Source organism: Homo sapiens, chromosome 10 (assembly GCF_000001405.40).
Source record: "Homo sapiens chromosome 10, GRCh38.p14 Primary Assembly".
Classification (NCBI taxonomy): Eukaryota; Metazoa; Chordata; class Mammalia; order Primates; family Hominidae; genus Homo; species Homo sapiens.
In genome coordinates, this window is record NC_000010.11 from 11,959,367 (window position 1) to 11,978,912 (window position 19,546).

Sequence of the window (19,546 nt, forward strand, 5' to 3'; positions counted from 1 at the left end):
AAGTCCAAATTAATCAAAACACGTTCCTTCTAAGATTCCTTTACTCCTAACTAAACTTCTATTCTCAGTGATTTGCTATTTCAAAGTAATGGGTTAGAAAGGCAAAGAAAGGACTGGGCACTGTGGCTCACACCTATAATCCCAGCACTTTGGGAGACTGAGATTGCAGGATCACTTGAATCCAGGAGTTCAAGACCAGCTTGGGCAACATGATGAAACCCCATCTCTACAAAAGATACAAAAATTAGCCAGGTGTGGTGGCGCACACCTGTAGTCCCAGCTACTTGGGAGGTTGAGGTGGGTGGACAGCTTGAGCCCAGGAGGTGGAGGCTGCAGTAAGCCATGACTGGCACTGCACTCCAGCCTGGGCAACAGCAAGACCCTGTCTCTTAAAAAAAACAAAACAAAAACACACAGAGAGGTGGGGGTGGTGAGACAAAAACAATCAACAGGCATATCAAAGAGCATGTAAGCATACTAACTGTTATACTACTTATCATTTTTAGAACATACTAGCCCGTGCCTACTTAGCCTTACGTTTCATCCAATAAAATACTAGAGAACTTTACTACCAAGGTAACTTCTTTCATAACTTTGTGTCTAGGGTTGCTCAGTATCAGCTCAGAAGAGGTAACTAACAAATACAGATCTAGTCACTCACCGTCTACTTCATGGTTTCTCAGCCTCAGCACTACTGACATTTCGAATTGGATAATTTGTTGTGGGGGATTATTCTGTGCCTTGTGGAATGTTTTACAGCCACTCTGGCCTCTACCCACTAGATGCCAGTGGAGAACCACTGACAAGTTGAAGATCTTTAAACAGCACTCCTAATTCTTAAAACAGCATCATACCAAGCATTAAGATTACTGAATAATTAAGTCATTTTAAAAACATCTGCTGGGCGCAGGGGCTCAAGCCTATAATCCTAGCAACTCGGGAAGCTGAGGTGAGAGAGTCCCTTGAGATCAGGAGTTTGAGACTAGCCTGGGCAACAAAGTGAGACCCCATCTCTACATTAAAATAAAATAAAGTAAAATAAAATAAAATAAATAGCTGGGCACAGTGGTAGGTACCTGTAGTCCCAGCTACTCGGGAAGCTGAAGCAGGAGGATCACGTGAGCCCAGAAGCTCGAGGCTACAGTAAGCTTTGATCATGTCACTGCACTCCAGCCTGGGTGATGGAGTGAGACCCCACCTCTAAAATAAAAAATAACAGAATAAAAGAAAAATAAAGTAAAAAATTACCCAGGCACGGTAGTATGCGCTGTCATCCCAGCTACTCAGGAAGCTGAGGTGAAAGGACTGCTTGAGGACTGCCTGAACCCAGGAGTTCAAGGCCGCAGTGAGCTATGATCATGCCACTGCACTCCAGCCTGGAAGACAAGCTTAAGACCTTATCTCTTAATAAAAAAAAAAAATAAGAAAGAAAGAAAGGAAAGTAGCCAGGTGCACTGGCTCATGCCTGTAATCCCAACACTTTGGGAGGCCAAGACAAGAGGATCACTTGAGGCCGGGAGTTCGAGAGCAGTCCTAGCAACGTAGTGAGACCCTGTCTCTATAAAATAAAAAAATTAGCCAGGCATAGTGGTGTGCATCCATAGTCCCGGCTATTTGGGAGGCTGACGTGGAAGGATCACTTGAGCCCAGGAGTTGGAGGCTGCAGTGAGCTATAATCACACCACTGCACTCCAGCCTGGGCAACAGCGGGAGACCCTGTCTCAAAAAAAAAAAAAAAAAAATTACTTGGTACTTATTAGTGTTATGCACTATGGCAGGTGCGGGAAACTCACCAGTGAACAGGACAGACATGATTCCTACTTACAAGAAACTTAACAGTCTTGTGTCAGAAGACAGAATAAAATCAACAAATAAATCAACTACTATTCTTTTCAATAATAATTGCAACAGTAGCATGAACAATAAGTACTGAGATCCGAAACAACAGAGAACCTACTTCAGTTTGGAGTGGGTTAGGGAAGGTTTTTCTGAGAAAGTGACATTTAAACTAGGATCTGAAGGATAACAAAGGCTGAAGAACCACGGGAAGAGCACGCATGCAGAGGCCCAAGCAGAAAGAAAGGCATATGTGGCACGAACAGAAGGCCAGTGTGTTCCTAGTAGGGAGCAGCAGAAGAGGGAAGAGGAGGGAGGGGCCGGGTAATAGAGAGCACTGCACACCAAGGTGAGAAGGCTGGGTTTAAGTGTGCAGAGGGAGATCACTGACAAGCTTCAAGCGGTGTTGTGGACTGGGGTGCTGGGTGGTGGTGGATTTCAAGTTGTGTGTGTATGTGAGATCAAGGAGGGCGGGGGCTGTATCTTTTTCACTGTCACATACGTAGCACCTAAAACAGTGCCTGACAGACATGCAATTCGTATTTAACGCATGAATAAATGAATGAATTTTTAAAAACATATTCACTCTTTCCTATGGACTGCTTTTCTATCTGTGCGAAATCATCATATACTAGGAGAAAGTTTTGCTATTTATAAGTTCGACTGTGGGTATACCAAGTTTCATAACTGTTTCTCTTGTCTCCTAGGATTTCTATAGTACACTGACTATAGCTAAGCCCCTATACTGACGCATCTCTGTACTATAATTAGTGAATGCCTGTTACATATTCAGTCTTCCAAACAGGCAAGAAAAGACTCCCATGTTTAAAAGAGCTAGAGATTTAATGACCACACCCTATAAGTTCTTTGGACAAAATAGAATGCATCATTTAACTTATCACTCGTACACAGATAATCCAGCTTTTAATCTCAATTAGTCTCAACCTGTTAGCTGGCCTGCTTTAGAAACTTTTCCCCCACACACGCACACTCACACATACCCCAAACTAATTTTAACATTAGCCAAGACTAATTTTGAAGGCAAACCAGTTAAAAGGTTATATGTCTTCTCAAATAAATGTGAATACATTTTAGATGATCCCATAAGCACTGATGTGCTTCAAACCAAACTCATCATCTGTTCCCTCCCCTTTATTCCCTCATATCTGTGACTGGCACCATCATCTGCTCAGATGCCCAAGGCAGAATTTTAGTCTTATCTTAGGGTACTTCCTGCTTCCTCATCCCTTATATCTCACCACCAAGTCTCCTCAGTTCTACCTCCTAAAAATTTTCATATAGCTAGTCAGAATTCTCCAGCCTCTCCCCAACCATCCATACCCCGATTCATTTCTGCATTGTTGTCCCCCTGGGTTTCTGAAACAGCCTTCTGACTGTTCTCTCTACCTCGGGTCTCAGCAGTTATCGCCTCCATACTAATCTTTCTAAAAACGTGAATCTGATCATATCCACCCTACCTGCTTAATTAAAATCCTTCAACAATTATTCACTGCCACCAGGAAAAAAACTCAAGCTCCTTAGCATGGCACTCTGGGCTCCTTATAAGCTAGTGCGTGCCTATCCTCCTCTCCAGTTTTACCTGCAGCTGTTTTATTCAACTGGTTTCTCTTCTCTGCCTTTAAGACTCAGCTTAGGTCTCTAAAATAAAAACTGCTTTTTTCAAGAACCCTTTCCTGATATAGTAAATTAGGTGCCTCTTCTACCTACACTCAAAATACCTTAGGCTTATACATTAAATCATAATGTATTTTTTTTTAATTTCCCATAATGTATTTCAATTCTCTATTTATTTGTCTGACTGTCCTATTAGGCTATAAACTACGTAAGGGCAGAAACTCTTCCAATTTTATATTCCAAGGGTCTAGCACAGAGTTCACACCCCATAAATACTATCAAGCCATTAGGGGAGACCTTTGCTACTCTCAGTCTGGTTTAAGTACCTCCTCCATGAGCCCACAGTATCCTCTGCAGCCCTCCATTACAGCACCTACGACACTGTATTAGAATTACGTAGTTAACTCTCACCCATTACAGGTGAACCACTTTGAAGATGGTAATTATATTTCATTTCTTTTTATCATCCCTCCTATCTAGCTGTGTGAGTATTCATTCATTCATTCATTCATTCATTCGAGACAGGGTCTCATTCTGCCGCCCAGGCTGGAGTGCAGTGGCGAGATCATGACTCCTGCAGCCTTGATCTCCCAAGTTCCAGAGATCCTCCCACCTCAGCCTTCTGAGTAGTTGGGACTACAGGAAAGCATCACCACGCCTGGCTAGTTCTAAAATGTGTTTGTAGAGAGGAGGTCTCACTATGTTGCCAAGGCTGGTATTTTGTAAGTGCTGGGAATACAGGCGTGAGCCACTGCGCCTGGCCTTAATTTTAAAATTTAATATATTTAAGCTTACATTTTATGTGCTTACATGACACATGAATAATGGTTTGAGATGCACCAAAACATTCATAACATAACAAAAACATTCATAAACATGGCTCTAACAAAACAGTATTGGGTGCCTGCTCATCTGCATCATTTGTTAAAAGTGTTACAGGTTGAACTTAATTACCCCTTGCAATACTGTGAACTCGCTGGTAGCCAAGTGAGAAAAATGTCTACAGCTCTCCAGGGATTGCAACTCATATGTATGGGATGTTCCACTTTAAGTAGAAATGTTTGTATTCATATGAAAGAATAAGATAACCAGCACTGGTCAATATTTTCAACCTCTGAAGCACAGGTAAATCAAGAACCTCTAGCTCTTACCAGCATCCTCAAGCCCTTACCAAAAGTACACTGGTCCTCAGGTGAGATTCTGGAGATCTGAAAAGAAACCGTCCACATGTCTCCAGCAGGGTGCATGCCATTTCAATATGGTGATGAGAGAAGTCTGACAGAAGCATCTGCAACAGGAAGAATGATGAAAACTACAAAGGCAACTCTTCAATCCTAGTAGAGAAGAAATTATCATACATCTAATGTGTGTAACAACTTGGAAAACGTAAAAAACAGAAGTGAGTCTACTTGGGTTCACTGCTGAGCATCTTTTGTGTTCTGCCATTAATTTTTATTGAAAAACTTCAATATATTTGACGTCTTTCACAGAAAGATATGTGGAAACGAATGTCAAACCCCTTTCTATATTTATTGTTAGATGTTTTGTATTTAAACACATGCCACATACACAGCAGACATTTTCTCAATGCCTTTTGTCTTGGTCTATATATTTATTTTCCAAAATTCTCACTACAAAAGTATTATTTGCTCATTATATGAATTATAGACACAACCTATCACTAGGACATTTTAGTATTTACCCTCCTAATCATTTACGCGTATTTCTAAACTAAAACAGATTGAGACATTTGAGAATTTGGTTTCTATTGTATCATTTAATCACTTGGTTCTTCTGGCTTACTAGGAAAAATTTTTTGTGTCCTTTTTTGTCCTTCTATGGCATGATTTGCAAAGTATATAGTGCTACATAATATGAACGAGATTAAAACTTACTTGATTCTTATCCATCACCCCAATTGCCTTCCATTTCTTGCTACAGGTGAAGTATCCCTTATCTGAAATGCCTGGGACCAGAAATGTTTCGGATTTCCAATTTTCTGAGATTGTGGAATACAGTATTTGCACATATATAATGAGACAGCCTGAGGATGGGACCCAAATCTATACACAAAATTCATTTATGTCTCATATAACCTTATAAACACAGCCTGAAAGTAATTTATACAGTATATATTTTATATGAAATAAAGTTGTGACTGTGTTTTGACTGTGACTTGCCACATGAAGTCAGGTGACATGTGTCACAATGGTACTCAAAAAGTTTTGAATTTTGGAGGATTTCAAATTTTACATTTTCAGATTAGGAATGCTCATCAACCTGTATTATAAAAATGGTGGGACATACATCATTGTAGAGAAATCTGTGGACATATTTATGATTATTTCCTTAAAATGAATTCCTGGGAAAGAAATTTCTGTGTCAAAAAAGTGTATATTCTTCCTATATATTTTTAAGAATTAGTACAAAGAAATACACCAATACATTTAAACAATTCACAGCATATTCCTTTCAATTTCAGCACTCAGAACATTTTCATAATCCCTTCTATAATGCTATCTGGAATTTACCTAAATATACTTATCAGTATACTAGTTTCCAGAGATGCTCTAAGAAGGATTAGGAAACTTATCCCTTCAATATTTACAATACTTATTAGTATTTTATTTATTTATTTTTGAGATGGAGGCTGGCTCTGTCACCCAGTCTGGAGTGCAGTGGCGCAATCTCGGCTCACTGCGAGCTCCACCTCTCAGGTTCATGCCATTCTCCTGCCTCAGCCTCCCAAGTAGCTGGGACTACAGGTGCCTGCCACCACTCCCGGCTAATTTTTTGTATGTTTAGTAGAAACGGCGTTTCACCGTGTTAGCCAGGATGGTCTCGATCTCCTGACCTCATGATCTGCCCGCCTCGGCCTCCCAAAGTGCTGGGATTACAGGCGTGAGCCACCACGTCCGGCCTCTATTAGTATTTTAAAAACTCTAAGAAGTCATGCATTAAAAAAAAAACTGTTTAATTTTGTTTACCTCAGGATGTTCCAAATGTATTTGAATCCATGAGACCTGTTTTGTGTGATATATCTATTAAGATCTCAAGGAAATCAAGTTGATGAAAAATTTGTTATAGAAAAAAACAACCTTAGTAACGGAATGATCAATTTCAAATGCAGAAGAATTATTCCATCTATTCTCCACCAGCTTTACCACATATAATTAATTACTGTTACTAATTAATTTCTACTTTAATTCTATTTGGACAAAAAACATAATCTGAGTAATTTCAATCTTCCAAATTTTCTAAGACTTTATGACTGATTTTGGTAAATAATCCATAGGCATTTGAAAAGATTGTAAATTCTGCTGCTGTTGGATATAGTATAAATTAGATCACCATTGGTAACTGTGTTGTTCCAATTCTGTATATACTTACTTATTCTGTCTGCCTGTTGTTTCAGCTACTGAGAGGTGTTTTCAAGTCTCTGACTATGATTGTAAGATATTTACTCTGTTACTTGACAATTTTTGCTTTATATATTTTGAAGCCATGTTATTGGTTGCATACTGATTCAGAAAGGTAATCTTTTCCTGTTAAAATAACCTCTTTATCATTACAAACCAGCCTTATTTCTTTTTTTCTTTTTTTTGAGACGGACTTTCACTCTTGTTACCCAGACTGGAGTGCAATGGTGTGATCTTGGCGCACCACAACCTCCACCTCCTGGGTTCAAGTGATTCTCCTCCCTCAGCCTCCCGAGTAGCTGGGATTACAGGTGCATACCACCATGCCTGGCTAATTTTGTATTTTTAGTAGAGACGGGGTTTCTCCATGTTGGTCAGGCTGGTCTCGAACTCCCGATCTCAGGTGATCCACCTGCCTCAGCCTCCCAAAGTGCTGGGATTAAAGGCGTGAGCCACCACGCCCAGCCCTTCATTTCTAATAATACTTCATGGCTTTGTCAAAAGTGTTACAGGTTGAACTTAATTACCCCTTGGAAGACTGTGAACTCACCGGTAGCCAACTGAGAAAAAATTTCTACAGCTCTCCAGGGATGGCAACTCATATGTATGGGATGTTTCAGTTTAGGTAGAAATGTTTGTATTCACATGACAGAGTAAGATAACTACCACCAGTCAATATTTTTAACCTCTATGATAATACAGAGAAACCAGCTTTCATTTTATTAGTATTTGTATAGCATATTTTCCCCATTTTTTTATTTAATTTTTCTCATCTTCATATTTAAGGGTGACTCTGTTGTAGATGGCTCCTAGTAGTTGTTTTAATCAAGTTTTATATTTTTAAGGCTTTTACTTGACATATTTCACCCTTTTTAGATTTCACGTAATTACTCGTAGAACTGCATAAGTATCTAAGATCTCACTATTTGTTTTGTATTTTGCACACTTGTTTAACGTTACTTTTTCTTCCTTTCTTGGTCTTCTTTTGGATTAATCAAATATTAAATTATTTCACTTTATCCACCATTTATAATTAAAACTTTAAACTTTTCAATTAAAAACAATCAACTAATTCAGCACTAACCTTTAAACAATGCAGTGTGTCATTTTTGGTGAACATCTTAAACTTAGTTAGTTCTCCTATAAAACGAACAGTTTTATTCTTTGTTTCAATATTGATCTGGTCCTTTTTCCGTACCTAAAAATTAAGAGAGAAAAGATAATGCTTAATCAACATTTTGAATCTCTGTGATAAAAACTATTATTTTAATGCATTCGAATTCACTCCAGTTTTTTTTTTTTTTTTTTTTTTGAGACAGAGTTTCGCTTGTTACCCAGGCTGGAGTGCAACGGTGCAATCTTGGCTCACTGCAACCTCCGCCTCCTGGGTTCAAGCAATTCTCCTGCTTCACCCTCCCGAGTAGCTGGGATTACAGGCGCCCACCACCACACCCAGCTGGGTAATTTTTTGTATTTTTAGTAGAGAAGGGGTTTCATCATGTTGGCCAGGCTGGTCCCCAACTTCTGACCTCAGGTAATCCACCCACCACAGCCTCTCAAAGTGCTGGGATTAGAGGCGTGAGCCACCGTGCCCAGCCCACTCCAGATATTTTTAATACATATGGGTAAAATTTCTTGCTATAGGCCGGGTGCGGTGGCTCACACCTGTAATCCCAGCACTTCAGGAGGCCGAGGTTGGCGGATCACGAGGTCAGGAGTTCGAGACTGCCTGGCCAAGATGGCGAAACCCTGTCTCTACTAAAAACACAAAAATTAGCCAGGCGTAGTGGCAGGCGCCTGTAATCCCACCTACTTGGGAAGCTGAGGCAGGAGAATTGCTTGAACCCCGGAGGCAGAGGTTGCAGTGAGCCAAGATCATGCCACTGCACTCCAGCCTGGGTGACAAGAGCAAGACTCCATCTCAAAAGAAAAAAAAAATTCTTGTTATATTCAAACTATTGTAAGTTAAAGAAAAAATTGCTCTGTATAACACCAGTCCCAAGATGTGCTCTGCAAAACAGTTCCATGGTCGAGTAATTTGGAGAATAAAATGAATTTTACCCGGCCTAAGGAGGTTCTTAAATAAGGAAAACTTTAAGTCAATGTTTTTCAAATTTATTTGGCAACACCAACCTTCTTTTTGAAATGTTAACTATTAGTTAACATCCCATTAAATTAATACTATAAGGAACACACTTTAGGAAATGCTGCTTTAAAAATAAGAATGCCAAGTGCTCACCTAAGCAAAACTGGTATTCAGGCTGGCTAGTGCATTGTAATTATAAACTATGCTACATTTTTATTATAAATACATTACAAGGAAAGAGCCAATATAATCACTGTTCTTTTTTATCACCAGTCATGGTTGTATGTCAAAGTTTAAGTCCTTTGCACATGTAAGTCCTCTAATTAGGCACAAATTTCAAGAATTATCAGATGCAACAAAATCCTGCTGCAACAGTACAATGCAAACAGACACATCAAGATAAATGTAATTGAATTTAACCTCAGAATTCCATTTTCATCGGAAAACCAAACCTACAGTCTAGAAAACTTTCATTTTAACACCAGTGACCATAATGTGGTGCCCTGAATTAGTTTAGCACTTTCTTTTCTTGTTTTCTGAGACAGTCTCACTCTGTCGCCCAGGCTGGAGTGCAGTGGCACAATCTCGGCTCACTGCGACCTCCACCTCCTGGGTTAAAGAGATTTTTGTGCCTCAGCCTCCCGAGTAGCTGCGATTACAGGTGTGTGCCATCATGCCCGGCTAAATTTTTGTATTTTTAGTAGAGATGGGGTTTCACAGTGTTGCCCAGGCTGGTCTCAAACTCCTGGCCTCAAGTGATCCATCCGCCTAGGCTTCCCAAAATGCTGGGATTACAGGCATGAGCCACCACAATCAGCCTAGAACTTTTTTTTTTCTTTTTTTGAGACAGAGTCTCATACTGTTGCTCAGGCTGGAGTGCAATGGCGCGATCTCAGACCACTGCAACCTCTCTGCCTCTCGGGTTCAAGTGATTCTCCTGCCTCAGCCTCCCGAGTACCTGGGATTACAGGCGCCCGCCACCATGCCCGGCTAATTTTTTGTATTTTTAGTAGAGACGGGGTTTCACTATGTTGGTCAGGCTGGTCTCGAACTCCTGACCTCGTGATCCACCCGCCTCGGCCTCCAAAAGTGCTGGGATTATAAGGTGTGAGACACTGCTCCCAGCCAGAACTTTTTTTTAATGACATCATTTAAGCATACAAAATAGTTTTGCAATTAGCGACAAATATAAAATAGAATGTCTCATTTTTAATATTAAACAAAATGATACTCAATAAACTTGACTGCTTATTATTAGCCTTGTAATTTAGAAAGAAGTACAGCCTTCATAAAGAAACTTTCACAAATAAATGTTTCATATACATGCACATAAAAAACTTCTCTTATTAATTTACCTTATTTTCTGAGCTTCGAGGATTGATTGAGTGTGCACTGTGGACCAGTTTTGCTGGATTTCAATCCCAGCACTATTACTTACACTTACTGCCTGTTACTTAACCTGTGTCTCAATGTCCTTATCTGTAAATTGGACCTAATAGGGTTGTGAGTCTTAAATAAGATAATACTTGTAAAGCACATAAAACAGTGCTTTGGACCAGTAAGGGTTCAATAAATATTAGCTATCACTAATTTTATCCTTCCTTGTATATCTGTATCTCTAATACATGGGCACTAAATAAATGTTTGCTGAAAAATAACTGAAAAGCTAAAGCTTAATATACATATTGCAGTGACGTGAAAGAGCAAAAGTTCTAGAGTTAGAATGTCTGTGCTCTTGAGATCACTTTATGGGATACATTATCTTGAGCAAGTCATATAAACTCCCTGAGCCTGTCTGCCCACTTGGTAAAGTAAGGATAATGATGATGATGGTAGTGACTACACTTCACTTGGTACTAAGCAATTAATGTACAGGACAAAAGAAGATTATACAACTTTTAAAATGATGTTTAAGGAGTATTTTAATGACAGGGTAAAATGCTTCCGAGAAATAACAGAAAATTATACATAAAATATAATTCAGTCATGAAAAACTATAGAGAAAAAAAGGTAAAAATAAAACTAAAAAACAACCACCAAAATGTTAAGAGTCTGCTATTAAGTAATGAAACTGGGATTTTTCTTTCCTTTTTTTTTTACTTTAAATGTTTTCTAAATTACACTGACCTTGTGTCTTTGTTTGAGAAAACACGTAAGAAAGCACATCAAAAACTACACACTAAAACTGGCTGGGCATGGTGGCTCACACTTGTGATCACAGCACTTTGGAAGGCCAAGGCAGGTGGATCACTTGAGGTCAGGAGTTTGAGACCAGCCTGGCCAACACGGTGAAACCCTGTCTCTACTAAAAATACAAAAATTAGCTGGGCATGGTGGCACGTGCCTGTAATCCCAGCTACTCGGGAGGCTGAGGCACAAGAATTGCTTCAACCTGGGACGGGGAGGTTGCAGCAAGCTGAGATCATGCCACTGCATTCCAGCCCGGGCGACAGAGTGAGACTCTAACTCAAAAAATAAATAAATAAATAAATAACAAAAAACTATATACTAAAACTAAGTCTTTAGGGTCAGTAGGGTTGGGAAATATATATATATATATTTTTAAATCTCCTTGGATGACGTTGGATGCATATCCTCTTCATCATCTGCTATGGAGTATCACACCATTTTAAGCATTACTAAGCATTCTAGTTTTCAAAACATGTTAACATCCTGTATCATCCACATCATATATTTACATTAATTCTAATTATTCTGAAATATTATAAAGGTTAAGGAGGTTAGATCTAATAAAAAAGATAAAATTATACAACATTTAAATGAAGTGTTATAAATCAATGATCTCACTCCCTCATTTTCAGATGAGAAAACTGAAGGCGTTTTAAAAGGTTGTAACTTATAAAAATGGCTAACATTTTCACTCCTCATTCAACATTTTTCACTCTCATTTCTTTCTTTTTTTTTTTTTTTGAGACAGTTTTGCTCTTGTTGCCCAGGCTGGAGTGCAACGGCGCAATCTCGGCTCACCGCAACCTCCGCCTCCCGGGTTCAAGTGATTCTCCTGCCTCAGCCTCCCAAGTAGCTGGGATTAAAGGCATACGCCACCATGCCTGGCTAATTTTGTATTTTTAGTAGAGATGCGGTTTCTCCATGTTGGTCAGGCTGGCCGAACTCCTGACCTCAGGTGATCCGCCCACCTCGGCCACCCAAAGTGCTGGGATTACAGGCGTGAGCCACCGCGCCCGGTCTTCACTCTCATTTCTTAAAACCTTATGATCAAAAATATGTCAAAACACTTCTGGATGAATTCACAATGTAACATTTTCTATATATTTATAGCTCAATAATGCCTCTTGTAAGATTTTACTTATATAATCAATCATCCATAGCAAAAATGTGGCTTGCAACTCTGCTAAAGACAACTAAAATTTAGATTAATTGAATAACAAAGTTTGTATATACTAATTAAAACTCTTCAGGCCGGGCACAGTGGCTCATGCCTATAATCCCAGCGCTTTGGGAGTCCAAGGCAGGCGGATCACTTAAGGTCAGGAGTTTGAGATCAGCCTGGCCAACATGGTAAAACCCTGTCTCTGCTAAAAGTACAAAAATTGGCCAGGTATGGTGGCCTGTGCCTGTAGTCCCAGCTACTTGGAAGGTTGAGGCAGGAGAATCACTTGAACCCAGAAGGCTAAGGTTACAGTGAGCCAAGATCGCACCACTGTACTCTGGCCCGGATAACAGAGCAAGACTCTGTCTCAAAAAAAAAAAAAAAAAAACACACAAAAAAACACTCTTCAGATATGTCAACACACATGAACTGTAAGGATTTCCTAAGGCCTATCATTTATCACTTTCCTACAGAAAGAACCCTCTGTTCTAGTCAAGCTGGCCCCTCTAGAAGGGCCAAATAGTTATTCACCCAAATAGAGATTTTCTATCTTCCATAATTTGCTCACTTTGTTTTACATGAAGTTTATTCACTCATCAAACTTTTCTGAAAACCTACTGTAGGCTAAACATAAAATCAGTACTGACTCTATAAATAAGTAAATTTGCCTTGACATAGAAAACTCTCTTTTTTTTATTATTATTATACTTTAAGTTCTAGGGTGCATGTGCACAATGTGCAGGTCTGTTACATAGGTATACATGTGCCATGTTGGTGTGCTGCACCCGTTAACTCGTCATTTACATTAGGTATATCTCCTGATGCTATCCCTCCCCTCTCCCTCCACTCCACGACAGGCCCCGGTGCGTGATGTGCCCCTCCCTGTGTCCAAGTGTTCTGATTGTTTAATTCCCACCTATGAGTGAGAACATGCAGCGTTTGGTTTTCTGTCCTTGCAATAGTTTGCTCAGAATGATGGTTTCCAGCTTCATCCATGTCCCTACAAAGGACATGAACTCATCCTTTTTTATGGCTGCATAGTATTCCATGGTGTATAATGTGCCACATTTTCTTAATCCAGTCTATCACTGATGGGCATTTGGGTTGGTTCCAAGTCTTTGCTTTTGTGAATAGTGCCACAATAAGCATACGTGTGCGTGTGTCTTTATAGCAGCATGATTTATAATCCTTTGGGTATATATCCAGTAATGGGATGGTGCGGTCAAATGGTATTTCCAGTTCTAGATCCTTGAGGAATCGCCACACTGTCTTCCACAATGGTTGAACTACTTTACAGTCCCACCAACAGTGGAAAAGTGTTCCTATTTCTCCACGTCCTCTCCAGCACCTGTTGTTTCCTGACTTTTTAATGATCGCCATTCTAACTGGTGTGAGATGGTATCTCATTGTGGTTTTGATTTGCATTTCTCTGATGGCCAGTGATGATGAGCATTTTTTCATGTGTCTGTTGGCTGCATAAATGTCTTCTTTTGAGAAGTGTCTATTCATATCCTTTGCCCACTTTTTGACGGGGCTGTTTAATTTTTTCTTGTAAATTTGTTTAAGTTCTTTGTAGATTCTGGATATTAGCCCTTTGTCAGATGGGTAGATTGTAAAAATTTTCTCCCATTCTGTAGGTTGCCTATTCACTCTGATGGTAGTTTCTTTTGCTGTGCAGAAGCTCTTTAGTTTAATTAGATCCCATTTGTCAATTCTGGCTTTTGTTGCCATTGCTTTTGGTGTTTTAGACATGAAGTCCTTGTCCATGCCTATGTCTTGAAAGGTACTGTCTAGGTTTTCTTCTAGGGTTTTTATGGTTTTAGGTCTAATATTTAAGTCTTTAATCCATCTTGAATTAATTTTTGTATAAGGTGTAAGGAAGGGATCCAGTTTCAGCTTTCTACATATGGCTAGCCAGTTTTCCCAACACTATTTATTAAATAGGGAATCCTTTCCCCATTTCTTGTTTTTGTCAGGTTTGCCAAAGATCAGATGGTTGTAGATGTGTGGTATTATTTCTGAGGGCTCTGTTCTGTTCCATTGGTCTATATCTCTATTTTGGTACCAGTACCATGCTGTTTTGGTTACTGTAGCCTTGTAGTATAGCTTGAAGTCAGGTTGCATGATGCCTCTAACTTTGTTCTTTTTGCTTAGGATTGTCTTGGCAATGCGGGCTCTTTTTTGGTTCCCTATGAACTTTCAAGTAGTTTTTTCCAATTCTGTGAAGAAAGTCTTTGGTAGTTTGATGGGGATGGCACTGAATCTATCAATTACCTTGGGCAGTATGGCCATTTTCATGATATTGATTCTTCCTATCCGTGAGCATGGAATGTTCTTCCATTTGTGTCCTCTTTTATTTCGTTGAGCAGTGGTTTGTACTTCTCCTTGAAGAGGTCCTTTACATCCCTTGTAAGTTGGATTCCTAGGTATTTTATTCTCTTTGAAGCAATTATGAATGGGAGTTCACTCATGATTTGCCTCTCTGTTTGTTATTGGTGTATAGGAATGCTTGTGATTTCTGCACGTTGATTTTGTATCCTGAGACTTTGCTGAAGTTGCTTATCAGCTTAAGGAGATTTTGGGCTGAGACGATGGGGCTTTCTAAATATACGATCATGTCATCTGCAAACAGGGACAATTTGACTTCCTCTTTTTCTAATTGAATACCCTTTACTTCTTTCTCCTGCCTGATTGCCGTGGCCAGAACTTCCAACACTATGCTGAATAGGAGTGGTAAGAGAGGGCATCCCTGTCTTGTGCCAGTTTTCAAAGGGAATGCTTCCAGTTTTTGCCCATTCAGTATGATATTGGCTGTGGGTTTGTCATAAATAGCTCTTATTATTTTGAGATATGTCCCATTGATACCTAATTTATTGAGAGTTTTGAGCATGAAGGGCTGTTGAATTTTGTCAAAGGCCTTTTCTGCATCTATTGAGATAAGCGTGTGGTTTTTGTCTTTGGTTCTGTTTCTACGATGGATTACGTTTACTGATTTGCATATGCTGAACCAGCCTTGCATCCCAGGGATGAAGCCCACTTGATCATGGCGGATAAGCTTTTTGATGTGCTGCTGGAATTAAAGAGTTTTGAAACTCTTTAAAAACTTTTGTGAACCAGTGATCTCCAAAGTAGAGTGCATAAGACTATTTATCTACTTGGAGTAGGGAGGGGAAACTGAAAATTCTATTTATATGTTTTATCTCACACATATCTATTTGTTTTTGTATGGTTTATAATGCACAAAAATATTTGGTACAACTGCCAAGGTATATAATTTTGAAATAAATATACCTATAATGGGGGTATATAGTCAACTTATTTTAACAAATAAAGAAACTTAATCAAAAAGTTGGAAGATGATTAATTTTTAAAATGTCAATGACTGTAATTTGCTTATGTTAAATAAAAGTTGTCTCCCCAGTCAGGCGTGTTGGCATGCGCCTGTAGTCGTAGTTACTTGGGAGGCTAAAACAGGAGGATTGCGTGAGTCCAGAAGTTTGAGGCTGCAGTGAGCTATGATCATGCCACTGCACTCCACCTTGGGTGACAGAGTAAGATACCATCTCTTAAAACAAAACAAAAAGCTGTCCCCCTCATCACTAAAGAAGTAGGCCACACTGAAACTTTAGAGAACACAGAAAATTAGAACGGAAAAGAATTCCTCATGTTCCCACCATCCAAAGACTGCTACGTTAACATACTGATATGTAATTGTTTTCTCTTTTCTACTTTCTAAGCATTTTAAGTGTCCGTTTATTATATGTAAGATTTTATATCTCGCTTTTGAAAAAAGCACTTTCTGATATAAAAACTTTGTTGTTGTTGTTTTTTGAGATGGAGTTTCACTCTTGTTGCCCAGGCTGGAGTGCAGTGGCGCAATCTCAGCTCACTGCAACCTCCACCTCCCGGGTTCAAGTGATTCTCCTGCCTCAGCCTCCTGAGTAGCTGGGATTACAGGCATGTGCCACCACGCCCGGCTAATTTTGTTGTTTTTTTTTTTTTTAGGGAGACGGAGTTTCTCCATGTTGGTCAGGCTGGTCTCGAACTCCCAACCTCCGGTAATCCACCCGCCTTGGCCTCCCAAAATGCTGGGATTACAGGTGTGGGCCACCGCGCCCGGCCCTAAAAACGTTTTTGTAAACATCAATTCAAATGGCTGTCCATCATTTCAGCATTGTGATTAGATGACCATTTTATTAATCCACTGTTGGGCTTTCAGATGATCAGTTTTCCCTATTAGAGTCATACTGTGAATCACAGTTTTTTGGTACATAGATTTGTTTACTTAGGACATGTCCTCATAGCTGTCCAATGTGTGAATGCCTCTAGGGCTCTTGAAATCTAGTGCCAAACAGCTTCACCAGATTCCCACCTGAAGTATCTGAGAATGTTGGTTTCTAATTTCTATTACCTTTTCTAATCGTCAGTGAAATTAGCAAACCCATTGTTTCAACTAGAATTTCCTTAACTGCCAGTGACATTTCATACAGCTTTGTTAACCTGCTTTATTTCTCAGCTGAGGTTCTTAGGGGGAAAAACATACCAGACTGCAGAAATATACTGGATCTAGGTAGAAGACAGAGACGGGAAAAGCTCGTTAAAAATCTACTATCATAACTCCAGGTATGGAAAATGAAAGACAGTGGCAGGAGGTATGAAGAGGAGATGCTAGATTTTAGTTCTTTTAGAAGACAGCATCAAATGAATTTAGTAAACAATGGCTCCTAAATGTCTAGGTGCAAAAGTAGAGGTATTTATCTCAGTAACTGGACAAAATACATTGTAAATTTACATGGGAAATACAGAAGCAGATTCAAGGAAGTAAAAGACATTTTTAAGAAGAAAATAATGAATTTGGTTTGGGGACTAATTTAGCTCCAAGTACATGAAAACTTTCTAAGTATCATAAGAGAGATTCTGGCAAGATATGTATATTTGGGGTTGTTGAGAAATAGATGTGAATTAAAGGCCAGGTAAATGCATCCCATTAAAAAGGAGGCTGAAGGAAGAAAGCTGAGCCAATCCCAACAAAGAAACTCAGCTAGGAAAAAAGGTGGAGGAGATTAAGAATAGTAACACAAGTAAGAACCAGGAGAGAATGGTGGTATAGAAGGTATAATTATTATTAAAATAATATTTATGTACAGATGCTATGTGAGGAGCTGCATGTGCATTATTTCATTTAATCCTTAAGAACAATCCTATTTTAAAAGATGCAGTTATGAACCCCACCTGGTAGACATGGAAACCAAGGCTTAGAACAGTTGCGTAAGTTGGCCAAAGTTACGATGCTAGCATGTGGTGGAGCCAGAGGCAGGCTTCCTAGAACACCGGAGAGTGGGGCACAGTTTCGAATCTGCAGAGACACCAACTAACAGGCAACTGGAAAAACACTGGTGGTCTCTGCCAGGGTGCTGCTATGATGGTGAATCAAAGAGTAAATGTCAGGAGAAACAGAGACAAGTATACTGTAAAACACTTCAATAAGAAGGAAATGAAATAGTTGCAGCGGGGGGAGGGCAGGGGATGCTGAGAAAAGGTGTTTGTTGCTGTCACTTTGATTTAAGGATGTGAGTGGTGAATGTGTTTCTGCCTAATAGAAAATTGTTGGCAAAGTCTATAGATCCTGGAGGAAGTAGAAGGTGATCAAGTTTGTAGAGTGCTCTTTCTTCTCTCCTTCGAGAGCACTGGTTCCCAAAGTATGCTCCTGGAGTTCTGATATTCTTCCCTTGTAATGAAGCATTGCAATAGTACAATAAAAATGCTAATTCCCCAACTCTCACCCCCATTTTCAAATGAGAGAGTACATATAGACAGAATTTTCTTAATTTAAGTTTTTCACCAAAAGCACTAATTATGCTTGGTCCAGCAACTTGTGTTTTAATTTGGGGATTGGCTGAGGGGTATAGGCATATAACCGATATAATAACTCATACTGTCCACTAGTAAAACAGTTCCTTCTTTGTACAATGGGATTAAACATATCAACAAGAATATCACGGCTTCTGCTATATCTGTCTCTGAACTAGCAGCATTTATCAAAGTGTGTTCTTTGAGGGGCTCCATATTCATGCCCCTCCAGGAGATTCACAGAGCACATTACCATATTAATGCTTTGAGAATTCTTACAACAAAACAAAACAAAACCACTTAACTTTATTGAGTTCAGTGTTTCCAACCTCTCTAAACATAGAAACCTTCCCTTACGTACTACTACCTATGAAAATCTGAAAAACACTTTAGCAAAAGTTGGCCCAGAAAAATCTTAACCACAAATCTCATAATAACAAGAAGTGCTTACAGACCATTCTCCTCTGCAAGAGACTCTCTCCTTCCTTCGCACTCAAAGCACCCACTCTCCAATAATTCACTTGGCAATTCACCATGCAATTCCTTACAGCTATTATATTTAAGGATTAATTTTTATTTAAACCTTGTGTCCTCAACTACATCGTGAGTTCCTGACCTCAGAATTGTGTCTGTTCTTGCGAGAGCTTGGCAACACTACTGACTGGTGCACAGTGAGTGAGAGAAAGCGTGTGCGGACATTTCCCGTTTTCATTTGCATTCTGAGCAACTTATGATAAAGCGAAGTTTTGTAAACACCACTTTTCCATTGGCTAACTACAATTGAATTTCATGTTTTTTCACAGTCTAACAATGTCCACTTTTAGTCACCTCTGGCAGTATCATTTCCCCACTATCAAGCCTGTATTTGAAGCAGAAGCACCTCCGTGAAATAACTGGGTAACATGGGTTGGGAGAACCACTAACACATAGTTTGTTCATACTTCTAGGGTTAGAGAGGAAGGGAAGCCATCTGGTAACAGGCCCCTGTTATTTCCCAGGGTGATCTTTAAAAAACTCACCATGGTCCAAGGTAAAACTTCTTAAGGCAAAATCAAAGAAACACAGGCTATGGCAGCACTTGCTAGTATCAGAGTATTGATGGAAACTTGCAGACGCCACACATTTGGACCCAAGCACCTAAAGAAGCATATCCTATGTGGCACCACACCCGGACTCATGGCAGCCAATGATGTTTCTTTTGGAAACACCAGTGAAGGCTCTGGCTGTCTTGACCCTGGAGAATGATTTCTACCTTAGAAAAGCAAAAAGTGCTGTTCCCGCAATGGGGGAACAAGGTAGCAGGAACAGCTCACCTCCCAACCAGAATATCACTGATCAATTTCAAGCTTCGTTAAGTAAATCACATTT

The 19,546-nt window shown here is 39.6% G+C and overlaps 1 protein-coding gene across 5 annotated transcripts in view; it reads right to left on the reverse strand.

Annotated features, from left to right (window-relative positions):
• Positions 1–19,546, reverse strand: part of UPF2 (UPF2 regulator of nonsense mediated mRNA decay) — a 123,149-nt gene that overhangs the window by 39,345 nt on the left and 64,258 nt on the right. For 3 of the 5 annotated variants that reach the window (NM_080599.3, NM_015542.4, XM_047424986.1), the window contains exons 10-11: positions 7,975–8,088; positions 4,643–4,759 (exon numbers count right to left, since the gene is read on the reverse strand). In NM_080599.3, coding sequence (NP_542166.1) covers positions 4,643–4,759; positions 7,975–8,088 — 231 coding nt within the window. Of the gene's footprint in view, positions 1–4,642; positions 4,806–4,834; positions 5,471–7,974; positions 8,089–19,546 lie in introns of those variants that run through there. The other 2 variants (XM_047424987.1, XM_011519449.4) reach the window with 2 other exon arrangements.